Source organism: Homo sapiens, chromosome 3 (assembly GCF_000001405.40).
Source record: "Homo sapiens chromosome 3, GRCh38.p14 Primary Assembly".
NCBI classification, from domain to species: Eukaryota; Metazoa; Chordata; class Mammalia; order Primates; family Hominidae; genus Homo; species Homo sapiens.
Genome location: NC_000003.12, coordinates 119,640,301 through 119,661,863, shown reverse-complemented (window position 1 = coordinate 119,661,863; position 21,563 = coordinate 119,640,301). Strand labels below are relative to the sequence as shown.

At 43.6% G+C, this 21,563-nt stretch overlaps 1 protein-coding gene across 5 annotated transcripts; it reads left to right on the top strand.

Annotated features, from left to right (window-relative positions):
* The first annotated feature begins 980 nt into the window (after window positions 1–980).
* POPDC2 (popeye domain cAMP effector 2) lies at window positions 981–19,808 on the top strand. Of its 5 annotated transcripts, none has more exons than XM_047448704.1 (5): window positions 981–1,344; window positions 1,801–1,931; window positions 7,251–7,359; window positions 13,196–13,604; window positions 19,303–19,808. In XM_047448704.1, exons 3-5 carry the CDS (start codon window positions 7,306–7,308, stop codon window positions 19,386–19,388), a joined length of 549 nt encoding a protein of 182 aa, XP_047304660.1. In that variant the 5' UTR covers window positions 981–1,344; window positions 1,801–1,931; window positions 7,251–7,305; the 3' UTR covers window positions 19,389–19,808. The 5 variants fall into 5 exon arrangements, with proteins under 5 accessions (XP_047304660.1, NP_001295262.1, NP_071418.2 ...); NM_001308333.2 differs by adding an exon at window positions 18,415–18,497 and having other exon boundaries at window positions 1,275–1,931; NM_022135.4 differs by having other exon boundaries at window positions 1,275–1,931.
* The last annotated feature ends 1,755 nt before the right edge of the window (window positions 19,809–21,563 follow it).

The window sequence follows — 21,563 nt, the reverse complement described above, 5'->3', positions numbered from 1 at the left end:
AACTAACATTTCTTAGCCTAATGTTTGCATACTCCAGCTTTATCTCTTGGCAGCCCAAAGTAGATTCCTAGGTTCAACCAGAAGTTCCTTGAAAATTGTCAGACTTCATAGAAGTGTGGAGTTGGGAGTCATGGATCTAGTACTGTACTTCCACTTACTGGCAAACCCCTTGGGACAGAGTATTAAGTTTGACAGACTTGGGTTCAAATCCTGGCTCTGCCACTTAGACCATCTGTGGGAGCTTGTTACCTCTCTGAGCCTCAGTTTCTTCCAGATCTAGAAGGAGAATAATATTTATTTTGAAGGATTGTTGTCACAACTAACTTATAAGTGTATAAAATGCCTAATCTAGGTTTGGCACTTCATGGGTGTTTAATAGGTGGGAATTATAATTTGGAAGCACCGGAGTGGGTGGGATGATGATCTGGGCAATGTATTATTATTTGTTTACTATTACCAGATCCAGATATATGCAGGGGAAAGCCAGCTTAGAATTCAAAAAGCCACTTTACATAGCTACTTTTGTTAAATGGATGTCAAATAAATACATAATGATATTTGCAGTGTGACTTAATAAAGGCCTTCAGGGGGTTTTCCAGCTTTCACTGTTAGGATTTTTTCTGATAATAGTCCCATACTTTCCTACTCTGATGTGTCCTCACTCAGAAGCACTGTCTGGCTCTCCCCAAAGGGAGCTCGGGACAGTTTCCTGCCTGAGGTGTTCAGGTGAATTCTGTGCTCACTTTTCCTTTCTCTCTCCTTGTCTGTCTCTCTGACCCTGAGGTCTTATCTTGTCCTCTGGGAGGTATGTTAAGTGCTCTGCCAGGCTGCCTGTGCCTGGCCTGTTTTTTCTCACTGCCAGTACCTCTTGGATTCCAATTCCAAACATGGTATCCATCTGGGGTCACCCTTTCTTCCGGTGCCAAGAGAGAACACATTCCAAATGGAACACAAATGTGCCTCCCATGCTGGCTCTCCTCATTCTGCTTGGGAAAAACAGAGAGCAGGATGTGGCCGCATCATCCCACGCTGCTGGACTTTTCAGTCCTGTAGTGCTACTTTCCCTTGGGACTATTTAGGTTTTTCTGCTAAGAACCAAATTTGAAGACTCCCAAGAAACATGGAACCAAGGAAGCTTGCCAGAGCTCTGCAGGGAGAGCCAGAGCCTTGCTGAGACAGCGGGGGTGGTGGGGAGGAGAGAGGGGGGGAGAGGGGGAGAGAGAGAGAGAGAGAGAAAGAGGTTTTTAAATTCTCCATGAAGTGTACTATGTTCCATCATTCCTTCCCAAAGCCACCGGAAGCATTCCTTCTAGGAAAGGTGGAGTCGGTAGTGAGAAGCCGGAGGTGAGAAGACCCCTGAGCGGATGGATTCATTCATTTTCTGAATTTCCTATGTGAGGACAGTATTAGAGCCCAGTGAGGCTTTGAGAGGCCCCAAAGATGAGCGCCAACAGCAGCAGAGTGGGCCAGCTTCTCTTGCAGGGTTCAGCGTGCATTAGGTGGAAGCAGGATGTGGAAGGGGCTGTCTACCACCTAGCCAACTGCCTCTTACTCCTGGGCTTCATGGGGGGCAGTGGGGTGTATGGATGCTTCTATCTTTTTGGCTTCCTGAGTGCAGGTTACCTGTGCTGCGTGCTGTGGGGCTGGTTCAGTGCCTGTGGCCTGGACATTGTTCTTTGGAGCTTCCTGCTGGCTGTGGTCTGCCTGCTCCAGCTGGCACACCTGGTATACCGCCTGCGTGAGGACACCCTCCCTGAGGAGTTTGACCTCCTCTACAAGACGCTGTGCCTGCCCTTGCAGGTGCCCCTACAGACATACAAGGAGATTGTTCACTGCTGCGAGGAGCAGGTCTTAACTCTGGCCACTGAACAGACCTATGCTGTGGAGGGTGAGACACCCATCAACCGCCTGTCCCTGCTGCTCTCTGGCCGGTAAGCTACTCTATCCATTGCCCAGAATTTCTTTCCCCAGCCCACACTTCTCATTTCCTAGTGTGTCCCTTTCCATTTCATGTCCCTTTCCATTTCGTGTCCCCTTCCATTGAGGGAAGGATGTGACAAGTCAAACAAACCAAAATAGATTTTTCTAAGAGTGGGGTTGCTTCCTCTTTCTTGGCATTTTCCAAGAAGAAACCAGTTCATGAGGCATCTTGGTTGGCAAGAATGATTGTATGTGCACTTGCTGCTGGAAGGTGTGCAGTGCGTGTGTCTTGAGCCTGGGCCTTAAATAACCCCTCTACCATCACCACACACATATCAGTGTGTCATGCCTAAGCTGCAGCAATATCTCTGTAAGCTTTGAAAAACTAACATTTCAATAAGGTTAATCTGTTCCTTACTCAAATTCAACATTTGCTAAGCACCAACTGTATTCAGGGAACAATGCCAGAAATGGGAGGTCGGGATAGCGGGGTGGTTCTCATAACCCCTGTTCCCTGCCAAGGCATCAAGCAAACAGCCCCACTTGTGTTTGGGGTAGCTGTATGTAGCCAGGTAGGGAGAGTGAATACCCCTTGCCCACCTTTCCATTTCCAGTTGTTCTATTGAGGTTCTTGAAGACTAAGAAGTCAAGTACAGTACTGTAAATCTGAGGGCCCAACAATGGGAGAAGAGAAGTGATACACCTATCTCATCAAGGCTTTTGTGGAAGCACCGCCTCTTTTGGAGAAGGCTGACAGTCAGATATGGGCAGAAATGGTCTTAGTCAGGATCAGTGTATGCCCAGTCAACCTGGATGTGAATGTTGGGCATTGATTTCTTCTGAGAAAACATCACGGGGCTCTGTGCTACACACTTAGTAGGCAATTGTGGATTTTTTTATACTGCCCTAGTGGCTCTTGAGCCCCACAACCCCCACTCCACCAGCTTTCTTGAGACCAGGAGAATGTGATAGAAAAGGTAAGATGGCAATTAGAAGGCTCCAATTCCAAGAAAAAAAAAAAAAAAAAGCAAATCCAGATAATACTGCCAACCACACAATGGAGAAAAAAGTTTGACAATGATGCTAATGGTACTACAACTACCACTAATAGTAATAATACGTGTTTGTGTATTCATTTATAGAACCTGAAGTATCATGTATATATGTTTTGATTTTGTTTGAACTCAGAGGTCCTGGATAGAGTGAGCTAGGAGGGGAGACATTTTGTGAGGGTACATTTCATTTCATTTATTGGTGAACTGAAAGTGTAAACCAATGCGATTATTTGTAAACAGATATAGATGTAAATACAAATACATATAACTATTGTGAAAATGTTTGCACCTATAGTTCCATGCTTAAAGACAATTTAGGGAACTTGCTCATTCATGAGACCCATGATGTTATAGCTCGTCTGTTCAAAGGAGGAAATTGAGAGCAGCAGAAGTGCTCCCTCCAGTGTAGGGTGCCCATTTGCTGGAAGCATGTATGGTTACTGTATAGTTCAGTTAGGATAGATTTACTGTGAACTTGTATAAGATCACTTCCCAGTGAAGGGGAGAGGGGGGCTTGCCCTTGGTGTAGCTTTTCCTGGTATACTTAGCATCAAAAGGCTGAGTCAGAAATTAGACAATTTTGATTTTTTTTTTTCCTGCCTTTCAAGGTTTGGAGTAAGAGTTTTGTTATCTTTCAGTGTCACCCTGTCTCAGCTTTGCTGAGCTGGACATAGAGGAAAAGGCTTCTAGTCTATGACTGGGCTCTAGTTTTAAAGGAGAATCACTGAACCTTGGGCTGGTTACAGTAAGGGACCAAACATCTCAAAGCAGCAGACAAGAACTTTGTGCCAGGAAGTGGGGACTCTTGTGCAGACTTCCACATCTCACATGCACACTGTTCTCTAGAGTCCTTCACTCAAACCTCAGAAGTCTTTTTGTTTTGTTTTAATAAAGGAAACCAATCTCTTTCAAAACTCAGAGAGGGAAAGTGACTTTCTCAAAGTCTATCACCCTGTTAAGCAGCGCTTAACTTAGACGTTTCTCTCATATAAAATTCAAAACACAAACTTCCATATATACAACCCCCTGAGCAGGCAACTAACTATCTAAGCTATTCATTTAGGAGAAGATCATCCATCTTCCAGTAGATCAAGAAGGAAGAAGAAACAGATGATAAAGGGCACAGCATTCCGATTTAAATGGCTTCAGCGAGCCACGAAGATCATTAGACATTATCTACACTCTACGGTTGTCACTCTTTGGTGGCTTGCCTGGGTGGCCGAAATCCTCGCCTAAGGAGCTGACATATGCTGCAGCAGCGCCATTCTCTTCTGCTGTCTTCCTTTGCTATGGAAGCTTTTCAGTGAGGTTTTGATCCCCTTTTATGGTGACACAAGTGAGTTTGTTCCTTGGTTTCCTTTGTTCATTTATTCATCCTTACTTTCTTGCTTCCTTCTTTCCTTCTTTTCCCCCTTCCATACATATTTATTCAGAGTCTTGAATAAAGCTCCTGTCTTCCAGCTTTAGGTTGTCAGATAATAGGTGCAATTGTTTTTTTAATTGGTGCTGGTCTTTGGTAATTTGTATACACGCATGTATACCTAGGCATTCATTAAGAGCAAGGCTCAGGAGTGCTGATATCCCATTGGCCAGGACTTATCACTTGCCTATGCCTAGCAGCCAGGGAAGTAGAGAAATGTTGATTTTTTTCTCTGCAGTCATGTGTCCAGTTAAAATCTAGCACCATTAAGGAAGAGAAGAAAGCAGATACTGGAGAACAGACTGCCACACTGGATTTCCCAGGTCTTTGTTCATTCTCATCTTTATCTGCTTCTCAATACCCTTTGCATCCCTCAAAATTCAGCTCAAATGTCATCTCCTTCGAGAGGTCTGCTGCCCAAAGAGAACCAATCTTTCTCTCTCCTCTGTTACTGTTCCACAATAGCACCTATCACATTGACTTGCAGCCAGTTATTTATGTGCCTGTGACTTCCACTAAATTGTGAAATCCTCAAAGACAAAGACCAGATTGTGCCCATCTCTGCATTCCCAGATCTCCAGAAACATGAGAGATGCTCCAGAAATATTTGTTTAGCCAATAAACCTCCAGAAATAATGGAAGGATATCTCCCCCAAATGAACAAGGTGTACCTTAGAGATCTTTTTCATCTTCCCCCTTTGCCTAATAGAGGCACCCCTATTGCCTGATATAACTCACTTTAGAAGAGAGGTTAAAGATGAAACTCTGAGTTTTCTGGGCAGGGGTCGGGTTGGGGGAAGGATAAAGCCCATACTGGATTCTAATCTTCTTCCAGATGTGGCCTCACATCTGAAATACACTCCCTGTCCTCAGGCATCATCAATGACATGCCATCAGTTCTAACAAGTTCTCATGGAATGCAGTCTTTTTACCCTGCAGGGGCAGAGCACTAGGCTAGGTACAGCCACAAGGGTACAAAGGCACCAAGCAGCAATAGTAAGGCTCCTAACCCCTTAAGTTGTGAAACCAAGCCTGTGGTCATGGGCAAGTCAAGAGCAGTTAATGACTTAAGACTTAAGACTTAAGAATATTCATAAAATTAAAGCAAATAATTCGGATTTCTGGCTGCAGCCACAGTAACCCACTCTAGCCAACAGAAGGGGGAAAAAAGGTCTTTATTTAAAAAAATACAAGGATTTCTTATGAAACTCAAGGAAAGACATGCACCTAAGCCTCAGGTAGTGCTAGAAACAAGAACATGTCCTACTAGGACATTTTATGTGATTTCAAGTTTATTTTCTCTATAGCCAATTGGGACCCATGCTTTTCAAAGTCTGAGTTACGTGATAAAAAAAAATTTTTTTTAGTTCCTTCAGGGAGGAGTGTGTTAGTTTTGTTAATAATGCCTGATAATTGTCCCCATCCAAGGCATGATTTACACGCAATTCCATTTCCAAATTCCCAGGGAAGGAGTTTGATTGGCTCAGCTTGAGTCAGGTGTTCACTCTAGGACCATCAGCTGGATAGGGTGCATGGGATCTCATTGTCTAAAGAAACAAGCTGTTATTGTCACCTACGGTTAGAGAGGTCCGGGAAAGGGTCATGCTAGGAGAGTCCACTACCATCTACCCAAAGCTGTAGTAATAGGGTGGCAACATGGTGTTGTGCTAAGAACATAGAATTTTAGTTCCGCCACTTGATCGCTATGTAGCCTTAAGCTCGCCACTCAACCCTTCTGAGCACCAGTTTCCTTAGCTATAAAATACAGAAAAGAATAATCTACCTTGTGGTGTTGTGAACATTATATAAGAGAACACTGGTAAAGTGTCTAGCAGAGTCTGGCATATGGTAGACTTGCCACTTCCTTCAAAGTCTACAAAGTGGTTAAATGTAAGCATGAATCTTCATGTAGCTAATGGGAAGGGAGAAAGGAGAATCTGTGGAGCAGCGGATCCAACAGAACTTTCTGTGATGACAGAAACGTTCTAGATCTATGTTGTACAACATGGTAGTCACAGGCCATATGTGGCTATTGAACACCCATATTGTAATTAGGTAAGGAACTGAATTTTTAATTTTATTTAATTTTAATTAATGTAAATGTAAACTTAAATAGGCAGCAGCATTCTTTTCTCTTTTTTTGAGACAGAATCTTGCTCTTTTGCCCAGGCTGGAGTGCAGTGGTGTGATCTCGGCTCACTGCAACCTCCACCCCCGAGTTCAAGTGATTCTCTTGCCTCAGCCTCCCAAGTAGCTGGGATTACAGGCACCCGCCACCATACCTGGCTAATTTTTGTATTTTTAGTAGAGATGGGGGTTTCACTCTCTTGGCCAGGCTGGTCTCGAACTCCTGACCTTAGGTGATCCACCTGCCTCAGCCTCCCAAAGTGCTGGGATTACAGGTGTGAGCCACTGCGCCGGGCCAGCAGCAGAGTTCTTAAGCAGTAGTTTCTATCTTGGCTACACATTAGAATCACTGGGGAGATGTAAATACTAATAATATCCAGTTCCTACCTAGAGAGATTCTTGTTTAATTGCTCTGGGATAAGGCCCAAGCCTAGGTGCTTTTTTTTAAAAGCTTCCCTGGGACTTCTACTCTGCAGCCTGAAATTGAGAACCACCAGTAAGGAGAAGGAGGAGGAAAAATGAGGGTTCTGGAAGTCTCAATGGGTTCCTTTTCTGAACTACTTGCATGCAGTAATTAGGCTGGCTAGTCTAGCTTTGGGTTTTACCATGCTTTAGGCAAAGTATTTCTACAGGAAGATTCATGTTAATCAGCGACACCTAACTTCAGCATAGGTGGCTTGGAGAGCCATTTTCCTTTTCCCACATGATCTCTTCTCTTCCCTTGCCAGGGTTCGTGTGAGCCAGGATGGGCAGTTTCTGCACTACATCTTTCCATACCAGTTCATGGACTCTCCTGAGTGGGAATCACTACAGCCTTCTGAGGAGGGGGTGTTCCAGGTAACAGGGAGCCTGGTGGCAGCACCGCCTCACCCCATCCCACTGTAGCCCAGCAATATCCGTGCCTCCATGTTTCCCCTCTTACATCTGTCCTTCGCACCCCTGCCAGTGTGAAGCTACAGGCGGGGGCACTCTTCCTCTGAAAAGAGTTCCTGGGCTCCTAGCCATAGGTGAGGTAGGGTAGGAAGATGCTGGCCCCTGGGTAGACCATGTTACTTGTATGCTTAAACTCTTCTGGAAGACCCTAGTGCCACAACATAAAAACCCACACTTGTTATAGGGTAACTTAAACCTTTTAGTGCTCTCTAGTCGCATTTCCAGCTCTCCCTCCTTCATATTTTTTGCTCATACTAGCCATGCTGAACCACTAGTACTTCCCTAAACACACCACATTGTTTTGCAGCTCTATGCCTTGGCCCCTACTCTCCCCTCTGAAATGCATTTCCCCTTCTAGATGAGACCACGGAACCTCACTTCCACTGTGAAGCCTGCTTCCACCCCACAGCCTCACCAGCTTCCACCCCACAGCCTAGCACTCCTGTGTGCCTGTTCTAGTCCTTTTACTTATGCTAACTGGTGCACATCTTGCTGTCTGTTCTAATAATCTGGTCTCCTTTCTGTCTTCTGCACAGTGAACTCTGAAGTACAAATCTAGGCTTTTCCCTCTCTGTTCCCAGACTCTAAAGGAAAGTACCTGGAGCACAGCAGCTGTTCAGTAAAGAATTGCTTGCCGGGCGCGGTGGCTCACGCCTGTAATCCCAGCACTTTGGGAGGCTGAGGTGGGTGGATCCTGAGGTCAGGAGATCGAGACCATCCTGGCTAACACGATGAAATCCCGTCTCTACTAAAAATACAAAAAATTAGCCGGGCATGGTGGCGGGCACCTGTAGTCCCAACTACTTGGGAGGCTGAGGCAGGAGAATGGCGTGAACCCGGGAGGCGGAGCTTGCAGTGAGCCGAGATTGCGCCACTGCACTCCAGCCTGGGCGACAGAGTGAGACTCCGTCTCAAAAAAAAAAAAAAAAGAATTGCTGAACTGGTTTGCCACTGGGCAGCTGGTGTCCCAGAGGACTCCATGGGGCATTCACATACATGCTCCAATGCAGGTTCCTGGCTGCCTGGCCCCTACTCTTCTTATCTCTGCCAATCCCTCAGGCTTTGGTCACTTTCTTTGTAGCTCTCACTTATTGAATGGCTAGCATGTGGCAGGCACTACGTATCATATTGCCTCATTGATTCTCATAACAACTCTATGGGTTGAATATGATTATTACTCCATTTAACAACTGAGGAAACTAAGGCCCAAAAACATCAAGTAATTTGCCCAGGGTCTTCAGCTAGAAAGTGACAAAGCCAAGTTGCCTGGATCTACCATTTCTGTTCTTTATTAAAATGGGAAGGTCACCAGAAGAGTAGAGTTTACACACACACATACACACACACACATGCACACGCATGCACACACGCGCACACACACTCACTCACCCTTTTAAGGACTCCCCTGCCTGGATAGTTTGCTGGACCTGGAAACACTGGATTCCATGTGTCTCCTACTACTTTTATCAGGGAGTCCCTCAAGCCAACATATGAGCCAACCCCGGAACAGACACACACCGGGCAGTGCTACCTGGCAGGGCCTGCTTCTGCCCCCACCCTGACACTTGGCTCTGTGATGATGGAGCCTGAGAGGCAGTCCTGATCCCACTGCCAGGGTCACCAGCCACAGATCCACTTCCATCATGTTCCTACCCTGACCTCCGTCCACACACCCTCCCTAACTAGTCCAGAAACCTTCTTCAGGAACTCTCTCAGGCACATGAGAACCTCCAGGAGGGCTCAGTCAGGACCTGAGCCAGCTGGACCAGGCCTCTTTCTGACACTGACACGGAGGAACAGGTGGTGGGTAAGCCGGGTGTCCTCCCCTAAGTTACGCTCAAGAGGAAGGGCTGTAACCTCACATGGCCTCTCAGCCTGGAATGTAGGTATGGTCATGTTCCTCCCATTTATATTTTTAGCGTGTACCTCCTTTGGGAGTAATGAGAGCCACACATTTGCTATTGGCTGTGTAAAGTCCCATTTCCTCTTTGCAAATGTCAAGTGTTATCTTAAGTTAGAGTTCATCCTGTCCTTGCCTTTTGCAATTACATAGTCTTTGTTGACTGAGAGCAATCCACAGTGACAGCCTAAATTATAATTCACATTGTACCTAATATAAATCAATCAGCATTCCAGCACACCTCTCGACAATTCAATTAAGTCAGAATTCATTGTGTGTTCGGCACTGTGACACTCATTAGTCACCAAGAACACAGCACAGGAGGGATCACACAGAAATCATCACTGTTTTTCTAATTTGCATCCTATCTTACTGGACCTAAGTCCTATTTACATAGGTTATCTCATTTAATTCATTCAACCAACATCTGAGATGAGTATTAAAAAAAAAGCTAAATACTTGTCAAAACGTTACAACAGATATGTCTATATATATGGGAGAACCAATCAAGAAGCAGATTTCAGGAGGACCTTTGGGGAAGGATTTTATACAGGACATGAGAAAGCAACATTAGAGGCTGGGCGCGGTGGCTCACACCTATAACCCCAGCACTTTGGGAGGCCGAGGCAGTTGGATTATGAGGTCAGGAGTTTGAGACCAGCCTGGCCAACATGGTGAAACCCCATCTCTATTAGAAAATACAAAAATTAGCCAGGGTGGTGGCAGGTGCCTATAATCCCAGCTACTCGGGAGGCTGAGGAAGGATAATTGCTTGAACCCGGGAGGTGGACATTGCAGTGAGCTGAGATCACACCGCTGTACTCCAGCCTGGGTGACAGAGCAAGACTTCGTCTCAGGGGGGCGGTGGGGTGGGGGAAGAAAGTGACATTAGGTTGTTTTGCAATATACAAGATTGGCTGTCTTCCCTTGATTCATTTATTCACTTCAATAATATTTATTGAAAACTTAGTATATACCAGGCACTGTTAAAAGGATTTGAAATATATCAGTGAACAGAACAGATGAAGGTCCCTCCCCTCATGCAATTTACATTCTAATGGGGGAGACAAAAAGCCATAGGCATAATGAATAAGTAAATTATATAATTTGTTAGAGGATAATCACTGCTAGTTTAAAAAAAAAAACCTAGAGTAGTGCAAGGGAGAAATGGTGGCAATTTTAAATAGGGTGGTCATGGAAATCCTTGTTAAGCAGATAACATTTGAGCAAAAACCTGAGAGAGATGACAGGTGAGGTCTGTGAATATCTGGGAAAAGCATATCAGACAGAGGAAAGAGCCAGTGCAAAGGCCCTGAGGTGGGGCCAGTGTGTTTGATGCACAGAAAGGAGGACAGTGGACCTGGAATGGAGAGAGGAAGGGGAGGGAATAGCAGGAGAGAAAGTTGGAGAGGTGACGAGGTAGCAAGATCATGTAGGGCCATAGCATATATTGTCTAGATACAGCCAAAAGGATTTTCTAAAGGGTTGGATATAGTATGTGAGAGAAAGAGAAGATCAAGGAAGACTCTAAGGCTTTTGGCCTGAGCAACTGGACAGGTGGTGCTGCTGTCAACTGAGACAAAGAAAGCTGCAGGTAGAGCTGCTTTCGGGGGACTAGGAAGTTCAGTGTTTGATGTTAGGTTTGCATCATCTGTGGACATTTGAATGGAGATGCTGCATAGGCAACTGGATATTTAAGTCTGAAATTCAGGAATGAGATCTGGGCCTGAGACATAAATTTGGGAGTTGGTTGTATGCAGATGATATTTAAAGCCATTGGATAGGATGAGCTCACCAAGTGAGTGAGTGTGGATGGAAGAGGGAATGGTTCAAGAGCGGAGCCCTGGGATACTTTAGTGGTGAGGAGTTGGAGAGGAAAGGAGGAAGCAGCAAAGGAGCTTGAAAAGGAACAATCATGAGATTGGGCAAGGAGTGTATGGCATCCTGGGAACCAAGTGAAGAAGATATATCAAAGAGGAAGGGGAAATTGATGGATGCCATGAAAACTGACCATCAGACTCAGCAGCTTAGAGGTCATTGGTGACCTTAACAGGAACAGTCTTTGTGGACTGCTAGGGACAAAGTCTTATTGGTTTAAGAGAGTGAGAAGAGAGGAATTGGAGACAGTTAAGTATAAACAGGTTTTTTTTTCTTCATGAGTTTTGCTAAAAAGGGAAGCAAATTAGTGGAGTGATAGCTAGCCAGGGAAGTGAATTCGAGAAAAAGAATTTTTATTTGTAAAATTTTGTTTTATTTTAAGATGGAAGAAGTACAGCATATTTCTAAGAAGGTTCACAGTCTTTGTGTTTGGCTTTAAGACATTATTTACATTCGGCGTAGTTCTTGCTCAAACACATGTGCTTCATATTTGGTACTCTGATTTCTTGTTTGGGAATTGTTCATAAGTACATCTAAGGTACAGGCCATGGCAGATGTGACAACTACTTGCTGAACTATTAGTAATGGACAGATTGTATTATTTTCAGAATTCTTTCTCATGAGGCAAGAGAGATTAAGTAATTTATCTGACATCATACAACTGATAGAGGTAAAGCTGAAACATGAAACCACTTCTGGCCTCGATAACGTAGTTTAGGTCCTGATTGCAGTGCTAGCAATTAGTGGAGAAAAGTTGAGAGGAGGAAATGAATAAAGGACGTGGGGGAGGGGTATAGCAGAAAGGAAAGAAGAGAAGAGGAGGGTAATGGGAGATCCAGTAGGCAATACAGGAATGAAAAGGATTATATATAATCTCTAATAAAGAATGTTTGGAAAGCTACCCTACTTTAAATTTGACAATTCATATAAAGTGCTTAACACAACGCCTGGCACCTCTTGACAAATATTAGCTGCTAACATCATTATCATCATCATTTCCACTGTCTCCATCCACAAAAATATATCATGAACTCTGCCAGCCCAAAGTATTAGGGTCAATTAGATTATTAAAAATTGTGTGATTCTGCACCCTTTTCCTGCACTGTCCTAAGCATGTTTCCATTTTAACCCCAGCTTTACCACTTATCATTATTTTAACAAGGATTTATCAAACACCTGCTGCATGCTAGGCACACGTTATTGCTTATTTCCCATGCAAGCGTAATTTAGCTTTGCATCATGGGCACATAGTGAGTACTCAGAAATTCCTAGATGAATAAACAAATGGAGAATGGGGTGCCCTTTGATTTTCTACCCTTTAGAGTTTGTCTTCCGCTATGCCCTTTTTCTGATTTCAGTCATCAGATCCTTTTGGTTACTTGAAATGGCCAAGTTACGAGCAATTTCGTAACTTGCTCGTATCCCAACCTGAATCCCAGGCTTGGGATCCTGATGTAGCTTGGCATACCTCATCAGAAGCTTTTTCTCAAACTCAACTTTCCAACTCTTTTTATGTCCCTACCCCAATATCTTACCCTTCCTCATTCTTAAAATGAATAGTTGTCAGCATTTCAACCACTCTTCAGAGCACAAGAAGGCCCCTTCTTTCTCTATCTTAAAATCATAAGACTCAGAACTTTCTGCAGTCATTAGTGGCATTAGCCACGGAACCACAGAATTACAGTTGAGGAAAGTGGATGTGGAAACTGAGGCTTCAGGAGGTGATGGGTGAGTGAGTGAATGGCTGATCCCAGGGCTCCTGACACAGGACCCCCCCATATCAGTGCACACAAGTGAAAGTCATCCACTAGACCTCCTCCAGGCAAGGCCATAGAGGGGTACTCCCACACAGCTTCTTCAGTAAAAGTACAGCTGTTTGCCAAGTGACTGAATGATCTCTGTGCTCAGCATGGACAAATTTTCTAGTTTAAACTTTTATTGTCTGCTTCTGACCCCTCTCAGGTCACTCTGACTGCTGAGACCTCATGTAGCTACATTTCCTGGCCCCGGAAAAGTCTCCATCTTCTTCTGACCAAAGAGCGATACATCTCCTGCCTCTTCTCGGCTCTGCTGGGATATGACATCTCAGAGAAGCTCTACACTCTCAATGACAAGCTCTTTGCTAAGTTTGGGCTGCGCTTTGACATCCGCCTTCCCAGCCTCTACCATGTCCTGGGTCCCACTGCTGCAGATGCTGGACCAGAGTCCGAGAAGGGTGATGAGGAAGTCTGTGAGCCAGCTGTGTCCCCTCCTCAGGCCACACCCACCTCTCTCCAGCAAACACCCCCTTGTTCTACCCCTCCAGCTACCACCAACTTTCCTGCACCTCCTACCCGGGCCAGGTTGTCCAGGCCAGACAGTGGCATACTGGGTGAGGACTCCACCAGTCTGGTGCTGGAGGATTTTGAGGAGGTGTCAGGATCAGAATCGTTTATGGATTATAGGAGTGATGGGGAGTACATGAGGTGAAGGGAGAACTAACATGGGCACAGCCACCGGCTCAGGATCCTATGTAAGTACTCAGAAGGCAGCCGCTGCACATTCCTGTCAATGGCTGGCCTTAACTCAGCTTGTTAGGGCAAAAAAAATCATTCGTGGAACATTTCCTCTTAGAGGACTCACAGAAAGTGGCATTAACCCAACTTTGAAGATAGCAACTCACTCCGGGTGCATGCAAGGCATGAAGGGATTTTAAAAACTCATTCGTTATTAACTTGATTGCATTTTAGAAAGTGGGCTGGTTGATACGTTGAGCAGGAAGGTAGATTGCTGTTTTTTTGCAAGTTTATTCTAATAGCTGAGGCCACAGCTGGGGCTTAAGGGGCTTTTATTTGTGGCATGCATTTTAAAAGAAAAAGAATGTGGCAGGGTTCTAATTCTGATTGCTTGTCTTTCCTGATACAGAGCCCGTCCTGGAAAGCAGTTGTTATTTAGCCTAGACTGGGCAGGCATCTCTGTTAAAACTGCATATTTTAAAGAGGATTGTGATTATGAGCTAATAGCTCGGGGAGGAAAATGTCCTCATCTTGCTTTCCTCTCACCCAGTGGAGAATGTGTTTGTTGATCACACAGACAGAGGACTAGATACTGCTATGATTAAATGTTACTATGATCAGATAGGTATATGGCAGCCTGGCTTTCCCCAGTCACCCACACCTGTGGGAGGTAGGATGTGCATAAATCCTGGAGGGCCTAACAGTGCGTGCAGGATTTCCCTCACAGAATTTCCCTCCCAGAGAGTCTACAAGAAAGGCTGTGCCCAGTGGTTCTGGGAAATTGCTCTCATGTTTCCCTGGCTGCCCTCATAATACTGTGATGTTTTTCTCTGTAACTCCACCCAACCATGATGTAGGCCTGAATTTCCTGAGGAAAATCCCATTGTTCCCAATTTGGAAGGCGCCTCCCATGGTTCTTCAGAAAGCACCAATAAATTACCTGAGAAACTAGCCCAGTGAGGAAGGCCTCCAGAGTACATGAAATGAATGAGTGAATGTTTGTCTATTTTGAAAAACAGGTTATATAAATGATGAAAGAGGCCATAGAGATGACTGATGAAAGGTTAGAGATTTAGTTTTGTAGATATGGAATTTACAATCTCCTGTGTTACCAGCATCCTTAGAACCATAGTTCAGCTCATTCTGAGGTAATTCCAAGGATCAATCTAACACCCCAGATCACTTTGTTGAGTTCCCCGAAGTGTGCATTGACAACTCTGATCACTCCTTTCCCTCTGTGCAGCTGTTCGCCTTCCTACTCGTTCATCCTGCATCCACGCATGCTCCTTATGTCCTATGGATCCCTCTTGGTCCAACTTGCCCATCCACCTATACACTCTCTCTTCGACTCACAGCAGCTCTCTGTTTTCTCATGTTGTTCTTCCTGGTTTTCTTCTCTTTTCTTGGTTCTATTTTTCTCTTCTTTCTTCTCCAATTTCTTCTCAGTCCTTGATTGCCTCAGTTTGATGTTCTGTTCTTTTTTCCTTTTCTTTCTTGAGACAGGGTCTCACTCTGTCACTCAGGATGGAGTGCAGTGGCATGATGTCGGCTCACTGCAATCTCTACCTCCAAAAGCTCAAGCGATCCTCCCATCCCAGCCTCCCAAGTAACAGGGATTACAGGCACATGTCGCTGTGCCTGGATAATGTTTAATTTTTAAATTTTTTTGTAGAGACAAACTCTCCCCATGTTGCCCAGGTTGTTCTCGAACTCCTGGGCTCAAATAATCCTCCTGCCTTGGTCTCCCGAAGTGTTAGGATTACAGGCATGAGCCACCATGCCTGGCCAGTTTGCTGCTCTTAAGTGTCCATTTTCTATGTCTTCTCAGTTCATTTCTCCCTCTTCACTTGTCTCTTGTTTTCTTCCATTTTATTGTTCATATATTTATCTCTCCTATTACCTCCTTTTTTCTTTTTCCCACCTTTTTTGCCTTGCTGTATCTATTCTTCCTCCTAAACACCCTGTACCCCCATCTTATTAGTTTTTAATCCTAACTCTTCCAAAGATCAGTACTTTTCCCTCTGCCTATAAAGAAAACCATTCAAGTGAAGGTGTAAAATCCCCAGCTTTAGGAATGTTTTCCAAACATCAGGAGGCAGGCAGCATGGTAAATGAGAAAGAGGCCAGGACTGGGAGTCCAAAGTCCTGGCTTCTATGTCTGGCTTTGCTACTAATCAAATATGTGACTTTTTGCAAACCATACCTCACTAAACCTTACTTTCTTCATTTGAGCGTGTTGGACCAGCTGTCCCCAGGAACCCCCTTGGATTGATCTGAGAAGGCAAGGATAAGTTTTTCAAAGGAAGAAAAGAGGAGTAGTCAGTCCGCAGTACAGTAGACACAAGCCCCAGGACATCTGAGTGTCTTTCAGCAAGAACTCTCTGTGATATTTCACTACAATTTCTCTGGCACCTTGGGACTCTCCTCAGCCCTTGTGGTGGTGGGTCTTGTTTAACTAGCAGTTCCCTCCATTCTATGCCTGTGAAGAATCTATCACCTACCATGTGATTACAGTGCAGATTTTTTTTTCCTTTTCCTTTTCTTTTTCTTTCTTTTTTTTTTTTTTTTTGTTTGAGACGGAGTCTCGCTTTGTCACCCAGGCTGCAGCGCAGTGGCGCGATCTCGGCTCACTGCAAGCTCCGCCTCCCGGGTTCACCGCCATTCTCCTGCCTCAGCCTCCCGAGTAGCTGGGACTATAGGCGCCCGCCACCGTGCCTGGCTAATTTTTTCTATTTTTAGTAGAGACAGGGTTTCACCGTGTTAGCCAGGATGGTCTCCATCTCCTGACGTGGTGATCCGCCCGCCTCGGGCTCCCAAAGTGCTGGGATTACGGGCGTGAGCCACTGCGCCCGGCCTACAGTGCGGATATTTTATGAGAGAGGAGATCACAACTCAGTCCCCAAGCCCTCAACCCTTAATACATACTATCGTATGAAATGCCTCTTTCCAAATTCAGCCTTTTCTAAAACTCAAGATGAGAAAACTGCTGATGAGGCTCACTTTCTAAAATACCGGAATTTGCAATATAGGGAGAATAGTTTTTCATGTTTCTTTGTTTAAGCAATAGAGAGAAAGGAAACTTATGTCGTTTACTTTTCAGGCCATAGAGGTTTTCAGAACAACTTGAAAACATGATCAAATTAGCCAAACTTCTGATAGTTTTCAATGTAGTCTGTGATCATGGGATAATTTAGCCTCAGTTCTTTTTCTGAAATTGTGTTTTGAATGTTTGATTTGACTTATTTACCATCAAACTTGCTATAAGGTTATTACTCTAATGAATAAGCATATTCCCTTAATTGGGAGCAATTTACTATTATTTCTTTCATAAAGTAGGGCACCATTCACCATCTATTTCCTGGCTCTTTAGTTATCAAAATGTTAAGCTCATTGCTATTCATCCCGGCACAGCACTTATATGAGAGGCATGAAGCTGGCTGAATTCTGCATCATTAGGAATGACACAGCCTCATCACATTGACACCAGTGCTTGTCTCTCACACCAATCCAAATTAAGACCAACTGAAAATAGTCAGAGTTTCCTCTGGAGCTCCTTTTTGAAGAGACATATGTTTTTTAGTCTGGTGGTACCCAAAATTGAACAAAAAATGGGTGCTGCTTCTCTTAATAGGCAAAACTATGCTGCAGGATAATGTATTCATGCAGGGTCTTCCAGCCAGACCCCAAATCATCCCTCCCTTCACTAGAATTTTTCTGTTTAATTCGATGGCCACTCTCCACAGGGATCCATTCTGTGTCTTATTACAGGAGATGCTCAATGAATGAGGGACTTATCTTCTAGAAATGCAGCTCCGAGGTAGTCTGTTGAGTGAAATAATGAATCCATTATCACAAAATAAATTGAAAGCTGTCTGACATTTGGACAATTTTTATTTTGTTTCACATTGTTCTGAAAACTATACTGTTTCTTTTCTCCCTATTATTTAAATAAGCAAATGATGAACAGATTACAAAATTGAGGACACTCGAGGTAAGGGAAGGAGCCCCTCGACAGGAGGATCAGGACATAGTACCAAGGGCAAGAGAAACGATTCAATAAACACTATTTACTATATATTTTAGGCATGGTTCTAGGTAATCACATGATAAGTAGTTGAAAGAACTGAAAATGTTTTATCTGCAAGAAAAGGGCAAGTGTAATATCTTCAAATTTTAGAAAGAATGTAAATTAGAATTTGACTTAATTTGGTGTAGTTCTTGTGGGCAGAAATTGAATTGAATAGGCTGAAAGTTATAAGAAGGATTTTAGCTCAGTATTGATACTGGATTGCTCATGGGTGGTGAGAGTTACTCATCACTGGAAGAGTTCAAGCAGGGGCCATAAGAAATCTCAGGGATTTTATAAGGTGATTCATGCTCTGGGAAAAGGATGCCTTGGATTATTGTGTCAGGGTAACTTCTAACTCTAGGATTCTGTGTTTCTAAGATCTGGACTCTAGTCTTGCCACTCACCTGCCATCAAGAACATGTTCCTCATCTGCAGGACAGGACCAAGATGGCTCTGTCTACCTTACCGGGTTGCTGTGAGGCGTGATTGTGATAAAATACATAAAGGCAGTTTTTAAGCTCTGAAGCACTAGTTAAATGTGTAGCGTATTTTAAGATTCTGTTGTATGTACAATTGTTTAGCAGTCTCTCTCTCTTTCTTTCTCTTTCTTTTATCAGAGATAGATGATTTTCCCTCTTATTTCCACCAGTTTGGCTTTTCAGGGAAGGTGGCAGCTGGCAGAATCCCCTGACAACAAAAGGTACAGCAAAAAGTGGAGGCCTAAAGAAAACATGTGCTAGCTCTTTAGCCCCTGAATAGCTAAGTCACATGTCAGCCTGCTCTCCTTCATCTGTTTGGGAGGAGGCAGATTAGAGTCACACTGTCATCATGCTCTTCCCCTCAGAAGCAGCTGTAAGGTTTTTGGTAGCTGTCAGTGCTAGCAAACAGTGCTTTTCTCACAGAACTACTGGAAAGAGTCCTGGCTCGGAAAACTTGCTCTTGAAAGTGGCACGGCCAGAGCAGGGGTCTCTAGAGGGTCGTGCCACCTCTACCTGCCACAGGTTCCATTGTCGGTCAGGTAAGTTAGAGGCAGCAGTTCCCCACCTGCCCTCTGGATAACAGCAGCCTGGGGCTGCTCCTGAGTCATGTTTCCACTTCTGTCTTACAGGCCTCATTTTCCTACCCATCTTTCTGTAAAAATGAAAGTCAGGAGTCTTATGAAACTTACCATTATTCAATACAGGCTTTTGGTTTTTTTCTTTAAATTAGATAGGGTTAGGTAAGAAGTAGAGTTCTATAGAACGTTCATAGGAAGCAACAAAAGTTGATCTCTTGGTCTCTACAATAGGAGAGGATTGGGCTAGATACCTTCAAAGCTGACTTGCCCTAATATTCTAGTATGAAATGATTCGAAGGTACACCTGCCCCTATCATGTCAGGCAGTGAGTACAGTTAAAACATTGGGAATTGGTAAAGGAAAGAAAAAAACTGAAAAGAACCCTTTGAAGTTAGACAAACTGTCCAGAGACATAGTGCTAAAATCCTCCCTCTTTTTCTTTCCACAGCTTCTAGAATTCCTCTCCAGAGCTACTCTCAAGTTATATCCAGGGGACAGGCCCCTTTGGCTCCAACCCACACGCCTGAACTTTAAGGATCATTGGACTATCTTCTCTGTGGCCAGCGCAGCTCTCTTCTGTGTTCACAGAATGGCCACTGATAGGCATGCCTCTTTTCCCACCCACTGGAAGGCTCACAGGCAAGGTGAGAGAGGACACAGAAGGTGCCAACACTGTCGCTACAGTAAGGACCTGAAGTGACTTTGAGAAATTCACCCTCACAAACCTTCCTTCAGGAGCAGGCATTGGTAGTGCAGAGGCACAGATTCCGTCCTTTACCAGCTGCAGAATCTTGGGCAAGTTACATAGCCTCTGTGAGCCTCATCGGTAAACAGTGGGGGTTATGAAACCCACCTCACAGGGTTGTTGTGAGGATCCAATGAGTTGATTTAGGTAAGCACCTAGCACATGCCGTGGCACCAAGTAAGCACTCAATAAATCACTCAACTCCTTTCCCTATGTTGTTTCTTTGCATTGTCTGAAAGGATCAATGGAGTCAAAGATCCAGCTTTTCACTGGTGGTTATTTTTTATTTTTCAATTAAGATTCAAATTTATGGAAGTGGAAATTTAAAAACCTCGTTTTCCCTTAGGCTGTGACATTCAACTTACAAATCTCTTTTTCTGTTGATGAACCTAGTATTAAACAATAGTTTTTAGAGGGACTTTTACAAACTTAGTTAATTAGATTTTCTTAAACATCTTAAAGTAGATTTATAAATGTAATATATTCTATTTTCCTTTTTCTTTAAATACTTCAACATATATTTCAGTTATCTATTGCTGTGTAATATCAATCCCTAAAATAGTGACTTAAAATTGTCCTAATAATATGTGGTGCTCATGAGTGCGGGACCTGACTGGGCTCAGCTAGGCGGTTCTCACTCAGGGTTTCTCATGTTGTTTCAGTCAGATAGTGGCTCAGTCTAGAATCATCTGTAAGGCTTCTTTACTCACCTGTCTGGGAAGACTCAAACAGATGAGGGCTGAAACAGCTGGGAATCCTTGGGCATCTCTCCCTCTCAATAGTTTTTTCATTTTTGTTGTTGTGTGCTCTTTGTATGACTATACCACAATTTATTTATCCAATCTACAATTGATGGGCATTTGGATAGTTTCCACCTTGGGGCAATTACAAATAGTGCTGCTATAAACACTCTTGTACCTGTCTTTTGGTATACATATGTATACTTTTCTTGGATATATACCTAGGAATGGAATTACTCAGGCATTGGGTATGTAAATACGACCAATTTTTCTAAGTGATTGTACCAATTTACATCTCCACAAGCACTGTATGAGAGTTCCAGATGCTTCTCATCCTCAGCAATAGTTGGCATTATCTTTTTTTTTTTAATTTTAGTTATTTGGGCATGTTTAGCAGCATTTTTATTTTCCTGATGGGTTGAGTAGCTTTTCTTTCTTTTCTTCTTCTTCAATTTTTTTTTTTTTTTGGCCATATGGATATCTTCTATTGTGAAGTATCTATTCTTGTTTCTTTTTTTTTGTCCATTGCTCTTTCTTTTTTTTTTTTTTTTTTTTTTTTTTTAGACAGAGTCTGGCTCTGTCCTGAGGCTGGATGGAGTGCAGTGGTGCGATCTTGGCTCACCTCTGCCTACCTGGTTCAAGTGATTCTCATGCCTCAGCCACCCAAGTAGCTGGGATTACAGGTGTGCATCACCATGCCCAGCTAATCTTTGTATTTTTAGTAGAGATGGGATTTTGCTATGTTGGCCAGGCTGGTCTCGAACTCCTGGCCTCAAGTGATCCACCTGCCTTGGCCTCCCAAAGTGCTGGGATTACAGGCATGAGCCACTGTGCCCAGCCTGTATGCTTTTTCTTATTGACTTAAAGGAGTTATTCAAATAATCAGGTTAAAAGTCCTTCTGTTACTTATTGAGATTTTATATATATATGTATATATTCTCCTACTTTTGTGGGTATTGTTTTTCTCTAAATAGTATCTTTTGATGAACATAGTTTTTAATTTCAATGTAATGGTTTATCAATCTTTCTGTCTCTGATTTGTGCTTTCTGTGTCGTGTTTAAGAAATCTTTTCCTCCCCTGAAGGTACTCTCCCAATAACCTTCTAGATTTCTTATTGTTTTACATTTCAAAGTTAGACCTACAATCAACCTGGATTTGGTTTTTGTATATATGACTAAGGGCCAAGATTCATTATTTTCCATGTGGCTATCCAATTGACTGAG

Coding starts and splice junctions, on each gene's coding strand:
- POPDC2 (NM_001369919.2), top strand. CDS start 1,441: ATGAGCGCCAACAGCAGCAGAGTGGGCCAGCTTCTCTTGCAGGGTTCA. Junction 1,932..7,250: donor TCCCTGCTGCTCTCTGGCCG/GTAAGCTACTCT, acceptor TTCCCTTGCCAG/GGTTCGTGTGAGCCAGGATG. Junction 7,360..13,195: donor CTGAGGAGGGGGTGTTCCAG/GTAACAGGGAGC, acceptor GACCCCTCTCAG/GTCACTCTGACTGCTGAGAC.